The 19143-nt window shown below is 40.2% G+C and overlaps 1 protein-coding gene across 25 annotated transcripts in view, besides 3 other annotated features; it reads right to left on the reverse strand.

The window, feature by feature from the left end:
• Window positions 1-19143, reverse strand: part of ST18 (ST18 C2H2C-type zinc finger transcription factor) — a 299042-nt gene that overhangs the window by 173428 nt on the left and 106471 nt on the right. The gene's annotated exons all lie outside the window — the stretch shown is intronic.
• Window positions 10139-10468: an enhancer, noted in NCBI's record as "active region_27344". NCBI's record gives its function as "activates an Ori minimal core promoter by ATAC-STARR-seq in GM12878 lymphoblastoid cells {active_cell/tissue: GM12878}" and the evidence as "EXISTENCE:reporter gene assay evidence [ECO:0000049][PMID:35858748]".
• Window positions 10777-10946: an enhancer, noted in NCBI's record as "experimental_103338 CRE fragment used in MPRA reporter constructs". NCBI's record gives its function as "activates a minimal promoter by MPRAs in K562 erythroleukemia cells, with activity observed for the introgressed 8:53207687 or rs17315309 variant allele {active_cell/tissue: K562}" and the evidence as "EXISTENCE:reporter gene assay evidence [ECO:0000049][PMID:34662402]".
• Window position 10862: a transcriptional cis regulatory region, noted in NCBI's record as "Neanderthal adaptively introgressed variant 8:53207687 (GRCh37/hg19 assembly coordinates) or rs17315309 in the experimental_103338 CRE". NCBI's record gives its function as "modulates activity of the experimental_103338 enhancer by MPRAs in K562 erythroleukemia cells {active_cell/tissue: K562}" and the evidence as "EXISTENCE:reporter gene assay evidence [ECO:0000049][PMID:34662402]".

The raw sequence follows: 19143 nt of genomic DNA on the forward strand, positions 1-19143 counted from the left end.
AAGGGATTTCTTAAAGTGAGGTAAGGAAGCCAGCGGCAGACGCTTGAACATGAGGAGGAATACAAGTAATTGAAGGGCTAGGTTTTGGAAAGAATCATCTCTGACACAGCTTCTATGTGGATGTTGAAATCACCCAGAAAATATTACCCAGCGTGTAAGCCCAGAGTTCAGGGAAATGAGGGGGATGACCGATGTGTCTCCAAGTGACCATCCCTATGAGAGAACACAGGGAGTGGCTGTGCAGGGAAGAACCAGGATGGTCTAGAAGCAGTGACAGGGAGCCAGGAGGATACCTGTCCCACCAGGGTGGAGCTGGGAGAGGAAAAACATCACACTCAAGGGGAGGCAGTGTCCTCTGGGAACACCAGGTTTTGGTTAGAACAGCAGGTTCAAGAAGTCCAGGTTACAGAGAGCATTACTGATGATGGACCATGAGTCCCAGACAATGCCAGAGCTTCGAGAACTGAGAAGGAATGGGAAATTGAAATGGACTAGGAAATGTGAAAACTCTCAGGGGGACTGGAGTGAAGGAGAAATATAACCCCCGCCACCCCCCAAAAAAATCAAATGTAGCTTTAATTATGCATTGGCTCATTCTCATCTCAAATATTTTTTGGGAAAATTGGTTATCATACCTTTAAGGATTTATTTCCCTTCTATATTCTGTCCACATCAGAAGGCACAATTAAGACAAAAGACACAAGAAAGAGGGAGGAAATGTTGAACAACTATAAGGAAGGACATTCCTAACTATACGAGCTGTTCAAAATGGAGCATGCTAACTTATCACTGGAAGGTGTGGGGAGAGGCTGAATAGTTGTTTGTGGGTTGCTTCTGAGATTTTCCACAAGGACTAAAGCTGGATAGGTGGCTTCTAAGACCCTTTTCAGTTCCAAGATTCTCAGGATTTGGTACCCATTACATGAGAAAAATAAACATGTATCCTCATATTCATCATTGCCATAACGCTTGATTCTGGTCCAAACTAAAACCTATGATCTTGGTCCTTTCCCCTTACACAGTCTGATTTTTACTCTTAAAAAATAAAGGCTAAAAATATTATTCCTTACATGTAATGACGATGGAACTTCTTGTTCCATATATCCAACATCTGTCGTTAACTTTCTGTTGCTGAGAAAACTGTCTATACCTCAACAACAGAATTGCCTTGTGTTTTCCTTATCTGCTTTGTCATTTGTGCCCAACCTCTCCTCCTAAAGCAAGAAGTCAGATGCCAGGCTCTGACCCAGACTGGTCACGATTAGTGTTGTGTGGAGAGCAAAAGGTGCTTCTAAGTCCAAGAAAAAGGTGGCTGCCAATGACAAGAAACACACAAAGCTTTCAATCTGAGAGCCTGGGGATCAAGGCTAGAATTTGAAACCACAGAGCCCCCAGAGGGACTCAGGCTGTGACCTGAAATGATGGACACCCTGCTGATGCCCAGAAATGCTATCAAGGCCTTCAACTTCCTTGGAATATATCCAATTTCTGCGACATTTTTCTAGTGGTCTTCAATGGCTCTTTCCCAGGAGAAGCATGTCTCCTCTGAATTAGGTGCATTGACAAATCAAAATGCCACTTTTGAGGTTACTTCTCTTTGCCTTATAGTTCTTCACTTCTCCTGGAGCCAGCACAGTGTTAAACTTACACACTTCACCCTAAACCATGTGGTCAAGCTTCTTAGTCTTTCATTCACTACAACACCCACTGCTACTGCTCCTACTACCATTACTTGATGATTCCAGACATTTATTTTTTTGCCAGACAAGATTTTTAAAAAATCTTTCTGCTATTTTCTTGCCAAAAGGAGTTTGTTTTTGCCTTTCTTTCCTATTAAGTTCGTTTGGCTGCCTAGAATAATTAATTGAAATAGAAGTTATTCTCCAGGAATTTAGAGGATCATATATCAGTGAATATTCCTTCACATGAAGTTTAGTTTTGGTCAGTTTGCAAATGTCCACACTCAAAAATGGAAGAGTGTGAGCTTTAAAAGGAAATAACATTGTATTTTGCATTGGGCACAGTACAAAGCTGGCAATATATCTTTTTTCATTTTATATGTAAGAAATAATAGCATTGAAGAGATGAACTGCATTGTCTAAAGTCACATCATTGTGTGGAAACAGCAGAGCAGAGCTTCAAATGCAGGTATTGGACCCAAATTCCATAACTGTCCTATGCTATATTACCTCTTCATGCATGATGCTTTTCAAGCTGTCTGTAATCTTCACATAAGTAAAAAACATTCTTACCATCATTATGATCATCTCCTTTATTGCAAGTTCTTTTAACTTAACAGGCTATAATTGTAAAAGTTGTGACAGCTGGCCAGTAGCTAGGATATACTAATAGGCACAGAAATATGGGTCACCTCCATTTTGTACTGATTATGTGTGGTCAGGCATTTGGGGTTTTCCTCACGTTTGAAACCAGTTATGTCTGACTCAACAATTCATGCTCATTGCACCAAGCCATACTTCTTCAAAGCAATGGTATCTGGCTACTAGATAATCAAGTCTTTGGTTCTCAAAGCATGGTCTCTGGGCCAGCATCACCTGGAAACTTGTTAGAAACACAGATTCTTAAACCGCACCCCAGACTTCCTGAATCAGAAACTCTGGGGCTGTGGCTTGGAAGTCTGTGATTTAACCAACCCACCACGGCTTGATTCTGGTATGTGTGATACAGGTGTGCTCAAGTTTGAAAACCACTGGTCTAAAGAAAATAAAAAAAACTGAGCAAAAATCTACAATATCCAAGGCTGAAACAGGTTACAGATTTTTTATACAAAGACTGTTCCAAAATATCTAGAATTTTAGTAGGCTTTTTTATACAAAGACTGTTCCAAAAAATCTAGAATTTCAGTAAGCCTTTTAAACATTAACAGCAGGATGGATATATGAAGGTCCAGAGAAATTAGAAGAAATTCAAAAATGATGGTCATCCCCAAATTTCTATGTACATAGAACCTATCCACAATACCAAAGGTTTTGCAAGCGTTGCTGAACATTTTTTAAAGCATTACATAGTATGCTAAGATTATGATAAAATTATCTGGGTAATTTTTCTGCTATATTAACCAGTTTCTTTTTCTCTTTGCATTTTATTACATTCAAGAAGGTGATGTCTGTGTGTTCTTTGTCTCAAAGAGGAGGTAGGGAAGCCTCCAAGTCTTTCTAGCTCCTTTAGAGCTAGAAACAAGCAAAGAAATATAGAATTTAAAAGCTTAGTCCAGTTGAAGGGGTTTTCAGACACAGAGCAACATCTAGAACAAATCCTTAATAGAAATTCTCCCAGAACAAGTAGAGAGAAGGGGAGATACCGGTTGCCATGAAGGAGAAGGGAGCTGCCCGGCCTCAAGGCTATGCAGAGTGTAAACTGTGTGTACCAACAACCAAGTAACCCCCAAGCTTTGGCATTGCATATACAAAGGGAGACAGGCAACCCCAGGTAGAACTGAAGTTAAGTTTTTCCGCTCACCCAGCATAATGGATGCTCTGAACTAAAAACTAAGAGGCATTTTTAAAAATGCAGTTACATATCTGAGCTAGTGGGCTGAGATTCCCACCTATTACGTCTTAATTTACACTAATTTTACCGGAGTCAATTCAGCTTCTGAGGGCTTCAAACAAGAGACCCAGGGACCAAGCTGAAAGCTCTAAGATCCACTGAAGCAGCTCTGAGCAGTTTTCCCATGCAAAGAGCTCAGAGGGTCGGGAAATATCAGTCACAACCATAAACTGAGCATGTTATGTGCATCCTGTGAAAAACTTTCTTTCTCCAACTAATCTGAGAGCAATCTACTGCAAATATAAACAGAACCGAAGCTAAATGCCTACTTCATCACCCAGCCCTACGCCTGATTCAGTACTGCTAGAAGTGTTTCAAAAGTCCCTTCCATGGGACAACCAGTTCATCCCTTGGTATTACCCTGAGTAGCAGCAGAAGCCACTCACGTCCACTGTGATGTGCTGGGTGGGAATGCTGCATCCTCACACAGATTCAGAAAATCTGCAAATCAGACTCAGAAGAAGGGCATGAGGAAGGAAAGGAATAAGATCAGGTCAAGATGAGAAAGTGTAATGAGAAAATGCCATTAAAACAAGAAGAAATTCAGGTAATCATTCAGTATTGCCTATTAAGAGTATTAATAGGCTGGGCATAGTACTCATGCGTATAATCCCAGCACTTTGAGAGACAGAGGCCGGTGGATCACCTGAGGTCAGGAGTTCAAGACCAGCTTGGCCAACAGGGTGAAATCCCATCTCTACTAAAAATACAAAAATTAGCTGGGCGTGGCGGCACTCACCTATAATCCCAGCTACTTGGGAGGCTGGAGAATTGCTTGAACCTGGAAAGCGGAGGTTGCAGTGAGCCGAGATCGCACCACTGCACTCCAGTCTGGGTGGTAGACTAAGACTCAGTCTCAAAAAATAAAAAAAAAAAAATAAAAGGAAAAAAGAAAAAGAGTATTAATGTCACCAGAAAACTTTAGGAGGATAAAGATTGTGGTTATTGACCCACAAACATCAAAAAAATCATCAAAAATATTGACTAGAGCAGATTCAGAGGAGTACAGGATGGAATTTTGATAACAGCGTCAAGGAGAAGAGTGAAGGTGAGAAATCTTGGCAGTGTGGGCTTTGCTGACTCCACCACTAGCTCTGCCTCCTTGGGCACCTAGAGATTCATGGCACGTGTGCAAGGTCCTGGAACCTTTCTCCATTTTCCTACATGACCATCAGAGTTCAGGAACTCTCCATCTGCACCTGTACTGCAATGAAAGGTAACTGAGCTGTAGCAAACAACCTTTCCTCTGAATCAAAGAATTCCAGCCCCTGCAGGTCAGAAAGCATCTTAGATACTACCCCTCTACGGATGGCAAAAATAGGGTTGAATTCTGCAAGAAAGCTTCCATTAAAGCCTGGGTCTTAGGCCAGGCACAGTGGGTCATGCCTATGATCCCAGCAATTTGAGAGGCCAAGGCAGTGGGAGACCAGCCTAGGAAACATGGTGGAACCCCGTGTCTACAAAAATACAAAATATTAGTCAGGGGTGGTGATGCATGCCTGATGTCCCAGCTACTTGGGACGCTGAGGCAGGAGAATCACCTGAGCCCAGGAAGTTGAGGCTTCAGTGATTGCGCCACTGCACTCCAGCCTCGGGGACAGATCAGGACTCTGTCTCAAAACAAAAAACAAAAAACAACAACAACCACCTGGGTCTTTCCATTGTATCTTAATGATGATATGAACTAAGAAGACTTCAGGAAGCGGGAAGTTTTGCCCATAATACCCCAGTGTCATGAGGATTTTGATGTTGACCATCACACTGCTAGCAGGCCTGCTACTCTGGGCTCCTCCAGCTAATGTCATTCACTTCTTTCTCCAGGAAAATAAGCCATTGGGGTGGGCTGCTCACGATGTTGAAGTAACAGATGATCACCTTCTGTCAAATTCACTCTCTCACCCTCCACATTGCAGGGGCTCATCAGCTTCTCTTTGACGTCCATCCCAGTGGTGGGAAGCAGGAGCCACATGGAGCAAATTGCATTGTTGGAAAGGTAGATACTCATATCTACAGGGTTGCTACTCGGTGCTAGGCTCTTTGACAAGTCTTGCCCTTTACCTGTGGTTAGAGATGGGGCTGATTATACCTTTTTTTTTTTAATAGACTGGGAAATGATGGTTCAGAGAAGTAAAGTGACTGGCCTGAGATCATGGAGTCAGTTAAAGGTGCAGCAAGGATTGGAACACAGGTCTTAAGGCAGCGTCTTCAGGTGCATCGACTCTTATGGTACACCTGGTACAACTCTGGTGGATCCATGTCCCTCCTCACATAGAGACCATCTATCTCCTGCAGCTTTGATCTCACACTGCCTTTCCCTTAGCCCAGCCACAACCACAAATCCACTCCTCCTTCATGTGACCACCCTTCATCTTGCTGACACCCAGCTCACTAAAGGCTCCACCTGACCTTATCTCTCCTTGATAAGTATCCTTAGCTCCTTGGTGGGCTGGGCATTTGACAGGATTTGGAGACATCTCACTCTCCTGATGGATTTTCAGTGAACACATTGTGTTCCCGCAAAGGGAAATGCTACACTTTAGACCTGCTCAGAGGTGAAGATGCTTAATGAGTAAGAGCTTGAGATGATGGAATGTTTACATACCAATAAATAAAGCTTTAAAAATTATCTTTAAAGCACAAAGAATAGAGAAGCCAAAAAAGGTTGACGCATACTTGCCCTATTTGATATTAGAAAGAGGGAGGTTCATCAGTAGAACTTCCTCAATGCGTTGATTGGCTGACACAGAGTTTTGTGAAAGAGGCGGGGATGTTGAGTCTTCCTTCTCAGTGTGTCTCTAGGACCAAGCATGAGGTGTGGACGACCCTTCTGAGCCCTGCGCATCCAGTTATCTCCTTTTAGCCCACAGAATCTGCTCAGGGAAGCCTTTCTTCACCAGCCCTGCCTGCCACTCTCCCATCCTCTCCTCACCAATCAAGCGAGGTCAGGTCTGGTTTTCCTGAAAGAGAACCTCACGGCCTCTTGTGCTTTTCCTCCCTGACTTCCTCATTACCACCTTGTTTGTGCTCTCCACCACCTTGTTCTCTTCTCGCCTTAGGGCTTCGTACCAATCGTTCCCCCGGTGAACACCGTGTTGCAGATCTCCTGGTGGTCAGTTGCTGGTGTCTGTCCATCACCAGCTTAAAAAGCATCTCCCTGTGGAGTGCTAGTTCAGAACATCACCCCGCAGTCACCCCACGTCACTGTCTCTGTTCATCAGGGCGCCCCATTGAGTTCAGCATAGCATCCATCACTGCCTGATACTTTCTGCTTATGGAGGAATCTCTTTTCCCACCACAGTATGAGCTGCAGAAGAACAAAGATTCCATCAGTCTTTTTCACTGCCCCATCCCTACCTAGTAGGTGTCACCAAACATCTGCTGGTTAAGCTCCCATTTTTCAACCAACGCCTTTTCCTCCCCACTGTAGGCATGTCACACAGGCTGTTTCTGAGCTGCGCCCACACGATGCCTACAGTGGCTGGCAAGGCACTGGCACACAGGACAAGCCCTATCAGTGTGTGGAGATGCTGACTGCTTGTTAAGGGTTATTATTTACTTTGAAAAAGTAAAATGGACCTACCACCACCTTTAGTTTAACCACTTATCAAAAATGTTTGACATTGTTGGGAATTGTTAAGTTGAATATTAAACGAATCTTGCAGTCTTTCTCTTTTGCAGAACCAATTTAAGGTTGCACTTGATGAGTGCTTTACATACATTATACTCCAGATAAATTCATCCACTTTAAAGAACTAAAACTGCTCATTAAAATATATATATTTCTATATCTTCTTTTGATTTAGAAAAAATATTATATTGTATCCTTCAAATTCTCACTTTTCAGTTTCATTAATAGATGTGATTTCCATTATTTTACATAATATTCATATAATGGATGGATGAAAATGTAAATAAACAAGGTTTTTTTTTGTTTTTTTTGTTTGTTTGTTTTTAATGGAGACAGGGTCTCACTTTGTTACCCAGGCAGGAGTGCCGTGGCAAGAACATGGCTCACTGCAGCCTCGACCTCCTCGGCTCAAGTGATCCTCCCGCCCCAGTCTCTCGAGATAGCTGGGACCACAGGCGCGTGCCATCACACCCGGCTAATTTTTATATTTTTGTACAGACGGGGTTTCACCATGTTGCCAAGGCTGGTCTCAAACTCCTGGATTCAAGCTGTCTGCCCACCTCAACCTCCCAAAGTGCTGGGATTACAGACCACACCCCACCATAAACAACTTTTATTTACTGAAAATCTCTAAAGTAAATATTAACTCTTCTTTGAGAAAATATATTTAACTTGCAAAGCAGACATATGCTCACTGATACCACTTCTGGGGCTCCATGCATTAATATTGAAAAAACATTTATTTCTGCACAGTGCTTAAGAACTACCTATTTAAATGCTTTAATAATGCAGTGTCTCTTCACTTACACACAGAAATGCACTGATGTCAGAGGTGCTGCTGCTTGGACGCCAGATGGTACCACATCATATGACAGTGGGAAGACAAACAGAACTGGTTACATTTTGTGCATGCATGTATGTGTGTGTGTGTGTGTGTATCAGTGACAGAAATGCTTGATTAAATATATTATGTGTGCATGAACTATCTGCTAGGAGATGTGATGATACTAGAAGATATTATTTCTTACAAGTATATGCACCTAATGCCTTAAGCAGCCTCAGGTGTGTGCCTATCGAACAGAATCTTTACATTCTGAACTCTGACGTGTTATTAACATAAAATAAATAAGCTACTGACACACTGTCCTATGGGGAACAGTCTTGGCTCAGCATTCCTGTCAGTGATCACTGGGAATACCGAGGAAGCCATTTAACTCCTATGTGTGTCTATTGAGTTTAATTGTTTTTTACTTTTATTCAGATTTACAATTGAGTGTTTTTAAATGATGGGACTCATCTATGAAACCTCATTCCACAAGCAAACACACACAAAGCCTTGGTTTTGTAATACTGAGACACTAGTGTTTAGAAATTGGCCTGTCAATCAATTCGGTCTCCTCCCTTCCAATAAAGAAGGGAAACCTCAGATATGGGATCTTGTACAAAGAAGTTATTCTGGCCTCTTTCCTATGAACAAATAGGCATGCAGAACTCATCAAATTATATATTATTCTAGGATGGCCTCAGCTTTGTCTATACAGGTTTGGAAATTAATCGATCGTGAGAATTATGTACTTTCTCTCTGGACCTTGAATTCTATGTGTGTGGATATTTATGTGTCCGCATATATACCCCTAAAATGTGGTTTTGCCACTTGTGTGAGGCAGCATTCTCCAACATGACATAGGAAGTGTTTTAGTTTTTCACCTCACTTCCTGCTTTGTTAGAGAATTACCAAAGGTAGTAAGGGAGAGCAGAAACGATGCAGTGGAGCATCAGGAGGAAGCACTGGCTGCTCTGTTTTGCAGGGCCAGGCTGTGCAGGACAGGGAAGCCCTGACTCTGCTGCATGAACCAGAGATGGCCACCATGACTGATCTCTAGGGAAGAGGGAAAGGCTGGGCGACTTCATGTGCACAGCACATGTGCCACTGTGACAGGTAACTTAGGGAGCATGTTCTTAGTGGTAAGTGCGTTTTTTCCTATCCGCTTAGTGTTGAAACAGCTTTCTTCTGCTCTGCACTCCAAAATAAAAGTGAAAGGAAAATGCTTTGCCCCAGTGTTTCTGTCCCTCGGGTCAGTAGCCAACATAACATTTGTCACAATGCTTTGCCCTCTCATTTCTTACATCCAGAGCATGGTTCTTGCAGAGTTCTTTATATGACATATAATTTTTTTATGTTTTTGTTATATTTGCTGCTTTTATTTTCTCTCTTTTTTCTGTGAAATTTGATTGAGCTTGTTGGAGATTCAGTTTCCTCATTGGTAAATGGGGATAATGCTTTCCTCCTATGATTATCATGCAGACTAAATAGGATATATTTATAAATAATATATCATTTTTGAACTGTAACACACTACACCAATGTTAGTAAACTTCTGAGTGGAGCTCCAAGATTATATCAATAATTTCTTGTCCTAGAATTGAATCTGAAGCCTCATCTCAAAGTGGAGAAAGATGATTTCATTTAAGTTCAGATTCAAGTGATTTTCACAGCTGACTCAGGGTTTCACGCAGTGGCCCATAGCCCGCTTTTCCATATGCTTTTGCACACACCCTCCTCACTGCACAAGGCTCACAGGTGTATGACTTAAAGCGACCAGTGAGTCCAGGGCACAGTTTATCTGTTTAGGTGAATTTCAGTGCAGTGCTAATGGGGCTCCAGCCTAACCAGAGCTTCCCCAGGGCCTCTGTGAGGCACAAGGAAAGGACACTTCCACATATCATAAGTGGAAGAGTCTTTAAACAAATTTGCCCTGAATAAGATGGGAAGTATCACTGGCCCAAAATGAAGCCAACCTGAGATCCGTCATTTGCTTCTGACCCTGAACCAGAAAGGAACTGAAAAATTGACTGGTTGAACTCCCTGAAACAAATGATGCTTGAGTGGTTTCATGCATAATAACTGCCTTGAATGTAAATAGGGCCATCAGTCAGCAGGATGCTGTGGGTTCCCCTCCCTCACTGTGAGGCCCCTCCCATAGGGACCAAGGCCCCCAGGAACTTCCTGTTCTAGGACACCCCCAGCAAGTCAGGGCCCCTCCTGACCAGGGACCAAGGCTTCGGAGAAGACTCTGGAGAAGGCTCGGAGGAAACTGGTAGGCAGGGATCTGGCATCTGTCCCTCCCTGACGATATTATTAGAGAGTTTTGCATTTTAGCCTTGGCAGGCTTACACCTTGCTCATACAAAAGCCAATAAGACAGGTGGTGCTTTTCAATGTATGCCCAGAGAGAAAACCAAAGCAGATTCCTGCAGTCTCAGGTCTTGCTGGGCACTGAGTCAGGAGCACCATAAAATTTGTCTCTATACTTCGTCCTCTCACTTCTTATATGGAACATGTGATTCTTGGCAGGGTAGAGCCCCCACATTTAGGCTAAATCTCTGGACTCATGGCTACTCTGTGGAGGGGACGGTATTGCTGCAGGAGCCATGCTTATCACCTTCTCACATATATTTGTAAGTTGTTATATGCTACTGTGCTTTATCTCTTAAAACAAATATATGCTTACATGCTTGCCGTTTGTAAGATGAACTTAGAATGAAAATAAAAGGAGATGGATAGGAGTCATTTTCAGACAAGATTTACCTCTAAGGAGCCTGCCAGGCAGCAATTCATTTCATCACCTCTAGCCTGACAAACCAGTGACATTAAAGCAAAGGCATGTCCTAATCGTCACACGTGTAACCACTTTTTTCTTTTTTTCACATTTGTATGCTAATCACGAGAAGCAAAAATAGACTTAGATTGGAAATCAAAGATTGGTTGTATACAGGTAATAGAGTGCTTGAACGCTTTATTTAAAGATAGAAGGCTCTTGAACCAGGCTTTATTATTGAACTAAGACTATCTATCCTTTTTGACACTTTTTAAATTAAGTTCTTCCTCTAATTTATGTTTTTATCAGGTTTCTTCCCTTACCTGGTTTTAAACTGGCTTTTTTTCCCTCTCTCTCTAAGTAATAAACTACTCCAGAGCAGAGAAAAAAATTTTAATGACCTTCGAAATTCAGATTAACAAAATGGATCATTTGTATACAGCCACAGAATTATGAAGCCTTTTGAAATATCAGTACAGAAATTTTGCCTGATGCAAAATTTCATTTTCTCTCTCTCTGACATATCTCTGACTTCCCCCTTTTAAAAATGGAGTGGTTTTAGTACCTCTTTAGTAAGGTCAAACACTGAAAAGTAAAGGGGTTTCGGGACAATTTTGAGGCGCAAATGAAAGAGCTTCTCTTTTTTTCCTTTTTTTTTTTTTTTTTTGAATTAAGGGAGACAAGCTCCAACAATGTGTTAGCATATCAGATAGAAAATAGTTTGTTGAAACTGGACTTGCAGCGCCAGTTCTGCCTGCCTCTTCCCTGCACGCTCAATCTGCCTTCTTATTATTGTTAAGCCAGCCTGCCTCCCAGTATGTTCTGCGTCCCATCTGACTTCCGCAGAGTTCGAGGGAGCTTAGGACAAACAGAACAGGGGAGCAGCTGCATGGGATGAGTGGTGGCAGCCAGATAATCTACCACAATGTCTTGCTGGAAAAAAAAAATGGGACAACATAATTTCCCCAACTTAACACAACCCCTGCCTGGAAAATGCAAGCCAAACTTAACAGGCAAGTTCGGCAGCTGCTTGGCGTCATTTTGTTTTAACATCATGCATATAAAAAAAGAAATAGTGCAATGCTGGGGGGAAGGAGAATTTTCAATTGCTTAGATTTGATAAAGAAAAACTAGTGATCAAAAATTATTTTTAAAAATAACAATGACTTCTTGGTAACATATTTTCCCCTACGGTTGTTTGATTTCTGAACAGACACCTTTTATTGACGTCTGGCTGATTTCCACAAATGGCATGTTTCTGCTTTTCCCACATTAGGGAAGCTGGTTCTTTGGCCCAAAGTGCTTTTACAGCCTACCTGTATTTTACCGGCCCTCCTAGACGGGGGGAACTCCCCTGTCCTCTGCAGGAATGTCAAAAGCCACCCATCTTTAACCACCTAATGCTCCCATCAGCAGAGAGGCACACAGCACAGTGAACGTCGAGCATGCACACCAGGAAGCCCAGGTTCGAGTTCTGACCGTCACTTACTGGTGGTAATGTAAGTAACTCAGCTTGCTTACTTACTCACTTACTGTAACTCAGCTTCCTTATCTCTAGAATGGGGCAGTAATTGATTCTACCTTTCCAAGTTACTGTGTGCACTGGAATAAAGTCTGGCACACAGTAGGCAATATAATACTATGTTTGTTAAGCTAAATAGAATCAGTATATTTCCTTTTAAAATAATTAATCAGACAATGATTTATTAAATAACCATGAGAAATCACAGTGCCTGGTGCTACAGATAAATCTCGCATGCTTTAAAAAGGTTGCAGTCTAGTACAGGAACTAAGACAAGTGTGCAATTAAGTACTAAACAAATAGAATCAAGATTATACATTTTCTAAGTATGAATTCCTAAAGAAAATATCAATAAGGTATAATTAAAAAACCATATTAGGCCACCATATCTGGCCTAATATGGTTTTTATAAGAATTACTAGTACTTAATAATGAGATAATAATGCATGAGTCCCAGAAATAAATGGGACAGAACTGATAGCCCGTGAACAGACCCCAACTCATATAAGAATCTGTGTGTAGTGCAGAAAGCTTCACCTTGATTCCACAGGGACCAGCCGCAGCCCTGCATGCTGACAGTGCAGTGCAGCGCAGGCTGTGGGGGGTGCAGTCCGCACACAGGCTCAGAGCCCAGCTCCCCAGCTTCCAGGCCCTGTCATTGTACGTGAAGTGTGTGACAGTGCCACAGCCCCCTTTCCTCATCTCTAAAACGGGGTGCTAATAGTTGCATCACTTCACTGGATTCCTGCAAGGAAGAAGCAGTGCATGTAAAGCACAGAGTACTTGCTCAATAAGCGCAGAATATATGGTACAATCTTTTTTTAAAATAATTTTTAAACAATAATTTACATGTTAATTCCTAACTTGTAAATATAACACAATAAATTCCAGACAAATTAAAAAATAAAAATTTAATGTTGAGCTTAAAGCCAGCCTAGAAAAAATAGTATGTTTGCTCTGGCAGGACTAAGGTAAAATCAATGGAAGAAATTAAAAACAACAAAAACAATAGGTTTGACTTTATAAGATTTGAAAAGTTAAAGGCACCTACATCAAAACATCATAAATTATAAAAGCTATTAATAAAGTAGAAATAAGAAATAATTGTAACAAACATGTAATGTATAACTAATTCCCAGATTAAAAAACATATTTTAAATTAATCAGTCAAATGGCAAAGAATGGGAAACGACAAGTCACATACGAAGAAAGCCAAATGGACACTTTTTCTAAATGTCTACTATGCATGCCCAGGAAAAAAAGTGATCATTACCACAACTATGAGTAAATGAGAGCTGTTCACAGAAGTTGTCTAAAACTGGGGTTTCTCACCTGAAATTGATTGACAAAAGAAAACATTTTAATTCTCGTTGTTTTCCCCAGTGACATTCCCTTTATGTTATCTTCTATAACCTCATTCTTGCACCCTTTGGGCCCAGCTCTCTACTTCTAAACTGACACTTCCAGGTGGAATTTCAGACCCTGATGCAGGGCTGGCCATGAGAGCTTCATCAGAGTCCTCCACTGGTCCCCGGCCTTCAGCTAGAGGGGGACCCTATGAGGCATTTTAGGGCCTACCCTGGAAATGGTACATTTCAGTGCTGCACATATTTCACTGGCCAGAGTGCAGTTATTGGCTCAAAATTAATGCCAGAAAGGCTGAGAGAAACAATCTGTGTGCGCAGGAAGAGGAACTGGGATTGGTGGGCATCTAGCTGGTTTCAGCTACATTATGACACATTCAAAGCATGGAATATTAAGTAGCACTATAAAGGGATGTTTCTGAAGAATATTTGATGACATGGAAAAAGCCTCATTTTATGGTCATGATTCAAAACAAAATGTTGGATCAGACAATTAGCATCAACCTAATTAAGTAAAAGGCATAAATAGATGTGACTAAAAGTTATATATCAAAATATTAACAATTGATAAATTACAGATACCTCACATTTATTTTTCTACTTTTCCTTTTTCCAAACCATGTGTGAGAAGCATGTATTACAATTATTTTAAAATTTAAAAAAGAGTGAGAAACTTTCCTTTGAAGATGGAGATTTCAGCTTAGCATTCAACTGCATGGAGCCACGAAACTATATGAAATTATATCAATAGATTTACCACTACTTTTACACATATTCCTTTTTGCATTTCATACTTTCCATTCAACATACTATTTCTACCTGAAATAGAGAACTAATAATTGTCTTATTTCCTCTTCAATCTTGAAATACTGTTTTGCTGGGTTTTTCTCTTGGCACAATGAAGATAATCTCCCCTCTCTGGCATCCATTGTTACTGCTAGAAATTCAGCTGTCAGTCTAATTTCTGTGTCTTTGTAAGTGATCTCTCTTTTCTAACTAGTCATTCTCTTTGGTCTGAATTTGTATTACTGCGTGTAGATTTCTTTGTATTTTAATTGGCTTTGGAATTGTTGGGTTTCCTGGATTTGGGCCTTGGTATCTTTCAACAATTCAGTAAAATTCCCAGTGATTATATTTTGGAATATTGCCTCATGCTCACTCATCTATTTTTTTCCCTCTAGGGCTCAGATTTATATACATATATATAAAATCATACACACGCACACACACATATTTATACACACATATGTGTACATGTGTAAACTTCTCAGCCATTTGATCTCTTAGCTACTCTTTCATAGTTCTTATTTCTTTGTTTCTCTCTGGGTAGCATTTTAGGTAATGTTTTTAGTCTACCTTCCATTCATGAATTCAATTCTCTCTTTAATTTTGTCTAGTTTGTTCTCCTGTAATCTTGAAAAACTTTCAATCACATTTTTATTACTAGTTGTTTCATTGTGTTCTTTTTCAAATCTTCAAAGTCAATTTTAAAATATCAGTCTCTAGTTTTGTATTTTCAAGTCTCTCTTTTTATCTTAAAACATATTAAACCTACTTATTTTCTACTCTAAATTGGATAATTACCCTCTCTCAAACATGTGCAGCCTGTGCTTTGCTCTGTTATTTCTCTTATTTCCTTTGGAGGTTTTAAAATATAAGTCCATGTGTCTTGCAGAAAGTTTTTCAGGCCTACATGAAGTGGCATTGTTTTGGAGCCAGTTTTTGTTTGCTCTTCTGTCAATCACCTGAAAGTAGTATCAACCTGAGACCACTTTAAATTAAATTCTCAATTTCAGCTTTTCAACCGCATAAGTGGTATGAACTCAGGCCAAAAGTGGGTGTAAGCTTCACCTCTGGGTTACAAACACTCATGGAAGTTTACTTTTCTGCCACAGAGCTCAGTTCAAGTCGTGCTATTTTAAGGTGTGTTACCTCTCCTGAGGTGTAGCCCCTGGGTCCTGGCTCTGCTCTGGGGAGCCCACGATGGATTTCTTCCTTCCTGTGCCTCTTGTGGCATCAAAACAGAAGCTCTAGACCACAGCGTTGGCAGATAACACTCTTAGGGCACAAGTTGCTTTGACACTTTTTGATAAATTCGTTGAGGTCCCTGATTGTAAATGGTTTTCAGCCTTCCGTTGATTCCTTCTGCTTATTTAGCTCAGTGGTATATTTCAAAACACAAATAATCCAGCTTTTTTGATTACTAAAATGTTTCCATTGAGAGGGTATGTAAGTTGGTTCTTCCACCATGCTGCCAAACACGGAATTGCTTTTCTCTGTTTGTAACATCTTACTTATTAAGCCAGGTAGTCAGGAGATGGCTGCGTGTTATATTGCTATACAGATTCTTGAATACTCGAACACTCATGGAACAGAATAAAAGAAGAACCAAGCATTAAGTTCAAGAAGATTTTAGAAAACAAATTTTAATAAAAGTAGATTAAAGGATGACTAAATTCTTAATATGGTAAGTAACTTAGAGAACAGAGAATTATATGTAGCTATGACAAACATATTTAAGCGGTTCACTCTGTGTTTTCGTTTTTGCTTTTTGCCCAAATCTATGACATAGACTAGGAGTTGGCAGACAGAATTATGGGCCCAATCCTGCCCTCCACCTGTTTTTGTATGACCCTCGATTTAAAATGGTTTTTACATTTTTTAATAGTTGGGGGGAAATGGAGAATAATATTTCATGACACATGAAAATTATATGAAATTTACATTTCAGTGTTCAAAATAAATTCTATAGGAACCCAGCCATACTCATTCATTTACGTCCTGTCACTGGCTGCTTTCATGCTAGAAGAGCAGAGTTGAATAGTTCTGATGATGACCGTATGGCCCACAGAGCCTAATATTTACTCCTGGCCCTTTACAGAAAAGCATGCTAACTCCTGGTAAAAAACAAACCTCTAGCAGAACTGTCAGAATGAGATGTGAGAGACAGAAAGAGAAAGAGAAAGTAGAGACTCACAATACACATTTTAAAATGGAATATAACCACAAATACAGAAGAGATTTTAAACATTACAACTTTCTTTGAAAGTAAATTTGTAAATATCAATGAAACAAATTATTTTCTAGGAATGATGACATTACCAAAATGTCATCAGGAAAAGGTAGAATGTCTGAATAGATTTCTAATAATGGAAGAAATGTTTAAAGTTGTCACAGAGATATACTTCCTTCCCTTCAAAATGGCCATATATGTTAATGCTATTACGAGCAGGTTTCTTCAAATCAAATAATTCCTATTTAACTCCTTTGAGGAAAAAATTAGAAAAACAATCTTTTCAATTTATTTTCCTAAAATTGTATAATCTTGATAACAAAATATAAAAAAGATAGCATAAGTGATACCAAATTACCAAAAAATAGTCAAATTAAATCTAGCCATATAGTTAAAGAATGATGTGCTATAAACAAGTACTATCTTCTCTAAAAGTGTAAGAATGATTCAGTATTAAGATATTTATTAATGCACTGGTTGTGTTACTAAGTCACAGAGGAAAAGCAAACTATCATCTCAATATATGTCAAAAATGTATTTGATAAAATTCAACATTCTTGATAAAAACTCAGTAAAACAAGAATCGATATTTATTTCTAATATGATATATAAAAAAGTGTATCTTAAAACAACTGCCCACATTTACACAAATTGAAACACTGGAAACATTTCCAATTAAGTAAGAAAAGATAAATTATTGTCACATTATTCAACATTTCCCTGAAAGTGTAATTCTATGAAATACTAGAAAGTCAGTAGAAAATCCATCATTATTTGCAGATATTATGATCTGCTTGTAAAAATCTAAGAAAAGCAATTGAAAAATGATGAAACATATTATGCCTTTCATCCTTCCTCCTTTTTTTCCTCATTTCTTTCCTTCCTTCCAGGATGGTACTAGATGTCAGAGTCAAGGGAGCTGAGGAAGGCATCCAAGTAAGGAGGTGGCGTGGGCACTCCCTGACAAGGCTACACGAGTGCAGGCCAGGTGAGGACAGTGTCCACAGAGTACAGGAAGACTGGCATGCGATGTCAGAGCCAGAGCAGAGTGAAGATGGCTTCCCTCAGAGGGGCTGCGGGACTCCGAGCCTGCAGAGGGCATCTATGCAGGGTGAGAGTGGCAGCCTGTCTGTTTTGGAGGAAGGCATCCACATGGGTGCAGGAGAGGTTTGGGAGCGATGGGGTGGAGAGTGGACGCAGTGGCAGAGACTGGTCAAATATAAGGATGATAAATGAGTAAGAAAATATGTTGGGGACATTCAAAGCCACGTCTCCCAGTATCAGAGAGGAATGCTACAAATGTGGAAAGGGAGAAAATTAAACTAAACCTTCAGGTGCTGGACTGGAATTGGAGGTATAGAATCATGGTTTTCAATAAGTACATGGTTTTCAATAAGTATATAAATTGATAGATGTAGAAATAAATATAGATTTCAATGGTACATGCATGCCTGTATTTATGTGTGTATGTTTATTTGTTTATATAGAAATCTATTCCCTAACTCTGTTCAATGAGAGAGTCTGTCCGCAGCCACACCTCCACAGCAGTGGGCACACCAAGCACCAGGTCTTGGTTGCTAAGTACTGTTCTCCACTAGCAGGGAACTGGACTCCTCAGAGAAATGGCTGAATCCAAGGATGAGGCAAGGGCAGAACAGTACAAAGTGGACCTGAACATTTTGTAGTGTGAAAAAATTATGGGAATATATCAAAAGGACACGAAGCCAGCTTGACAGAGTTCTCCTGTTGGCCAGATCTGGGGCAATTTGAGCATCAACATAAATAATGATAGGAACTTATAACCCCTTGAATAATAAATCTATACAGATATAAAAATATATTTTAAATACTAGAGCAAAACAACCCCTTCCTTAGAGTAGAATACCAAAAAATACATAGAAGGAAGTCATTAGAAACATCACCATTTGTCAATCATAATAGTAATAATTAAATAAGCCAAGAAGCATCGATGGATGCTAAAAGCTAATGGGTGAAGGTTCATAGGAAACTTTCTTACCTAGTCTCAAAGGACCTCCCATTCCAAAAAAAGAATCCTTATTTATTAAAAAGGAAAAAAAGAGTAACGTTATTGTAGGGAAACCTGGCAGATACTGCCTTGTGTTAGTTTCTGAAGGGTGCCATAACAGATTACCACAAAATTGGTGGCTTAAAATGACACAGATTTATTCTCTCACAGCCCTGGAGGCCAGAAGTGTGAAGTCAAGGTGTCAGCAGGACCATGCACCCTCTGAAGGCTTGGGGAAGGACACTGCCTTGCCATTTCTTGCCTCCAGTGGCCATGGGCAGTCCTTGGGGTCCCCTCCCTTGCAGATGCATCCCTCCAGTCTTTGCCTCCTTTGTTATGTTGCCTTCGTCCCTTTATGTTTGTGTTTTCATGTCTCTCTTTTCTTGAAAGAACACCAGTTATTGGATTTAAGATCACTCTAA

Source organism: Homo sapiens, chromosome 8, assembly GCF_000001405.40.
Source record: "Homo sapiens chromosome 8, GRCh38.p14 Primary Assembly".
Classification (NCBI taxonomy): domain Eukaryota; kingdom Metazoa; phylum Chordata; class Mammalia; order Primates; family Hominidae; genus Homo; species Homo sapiens.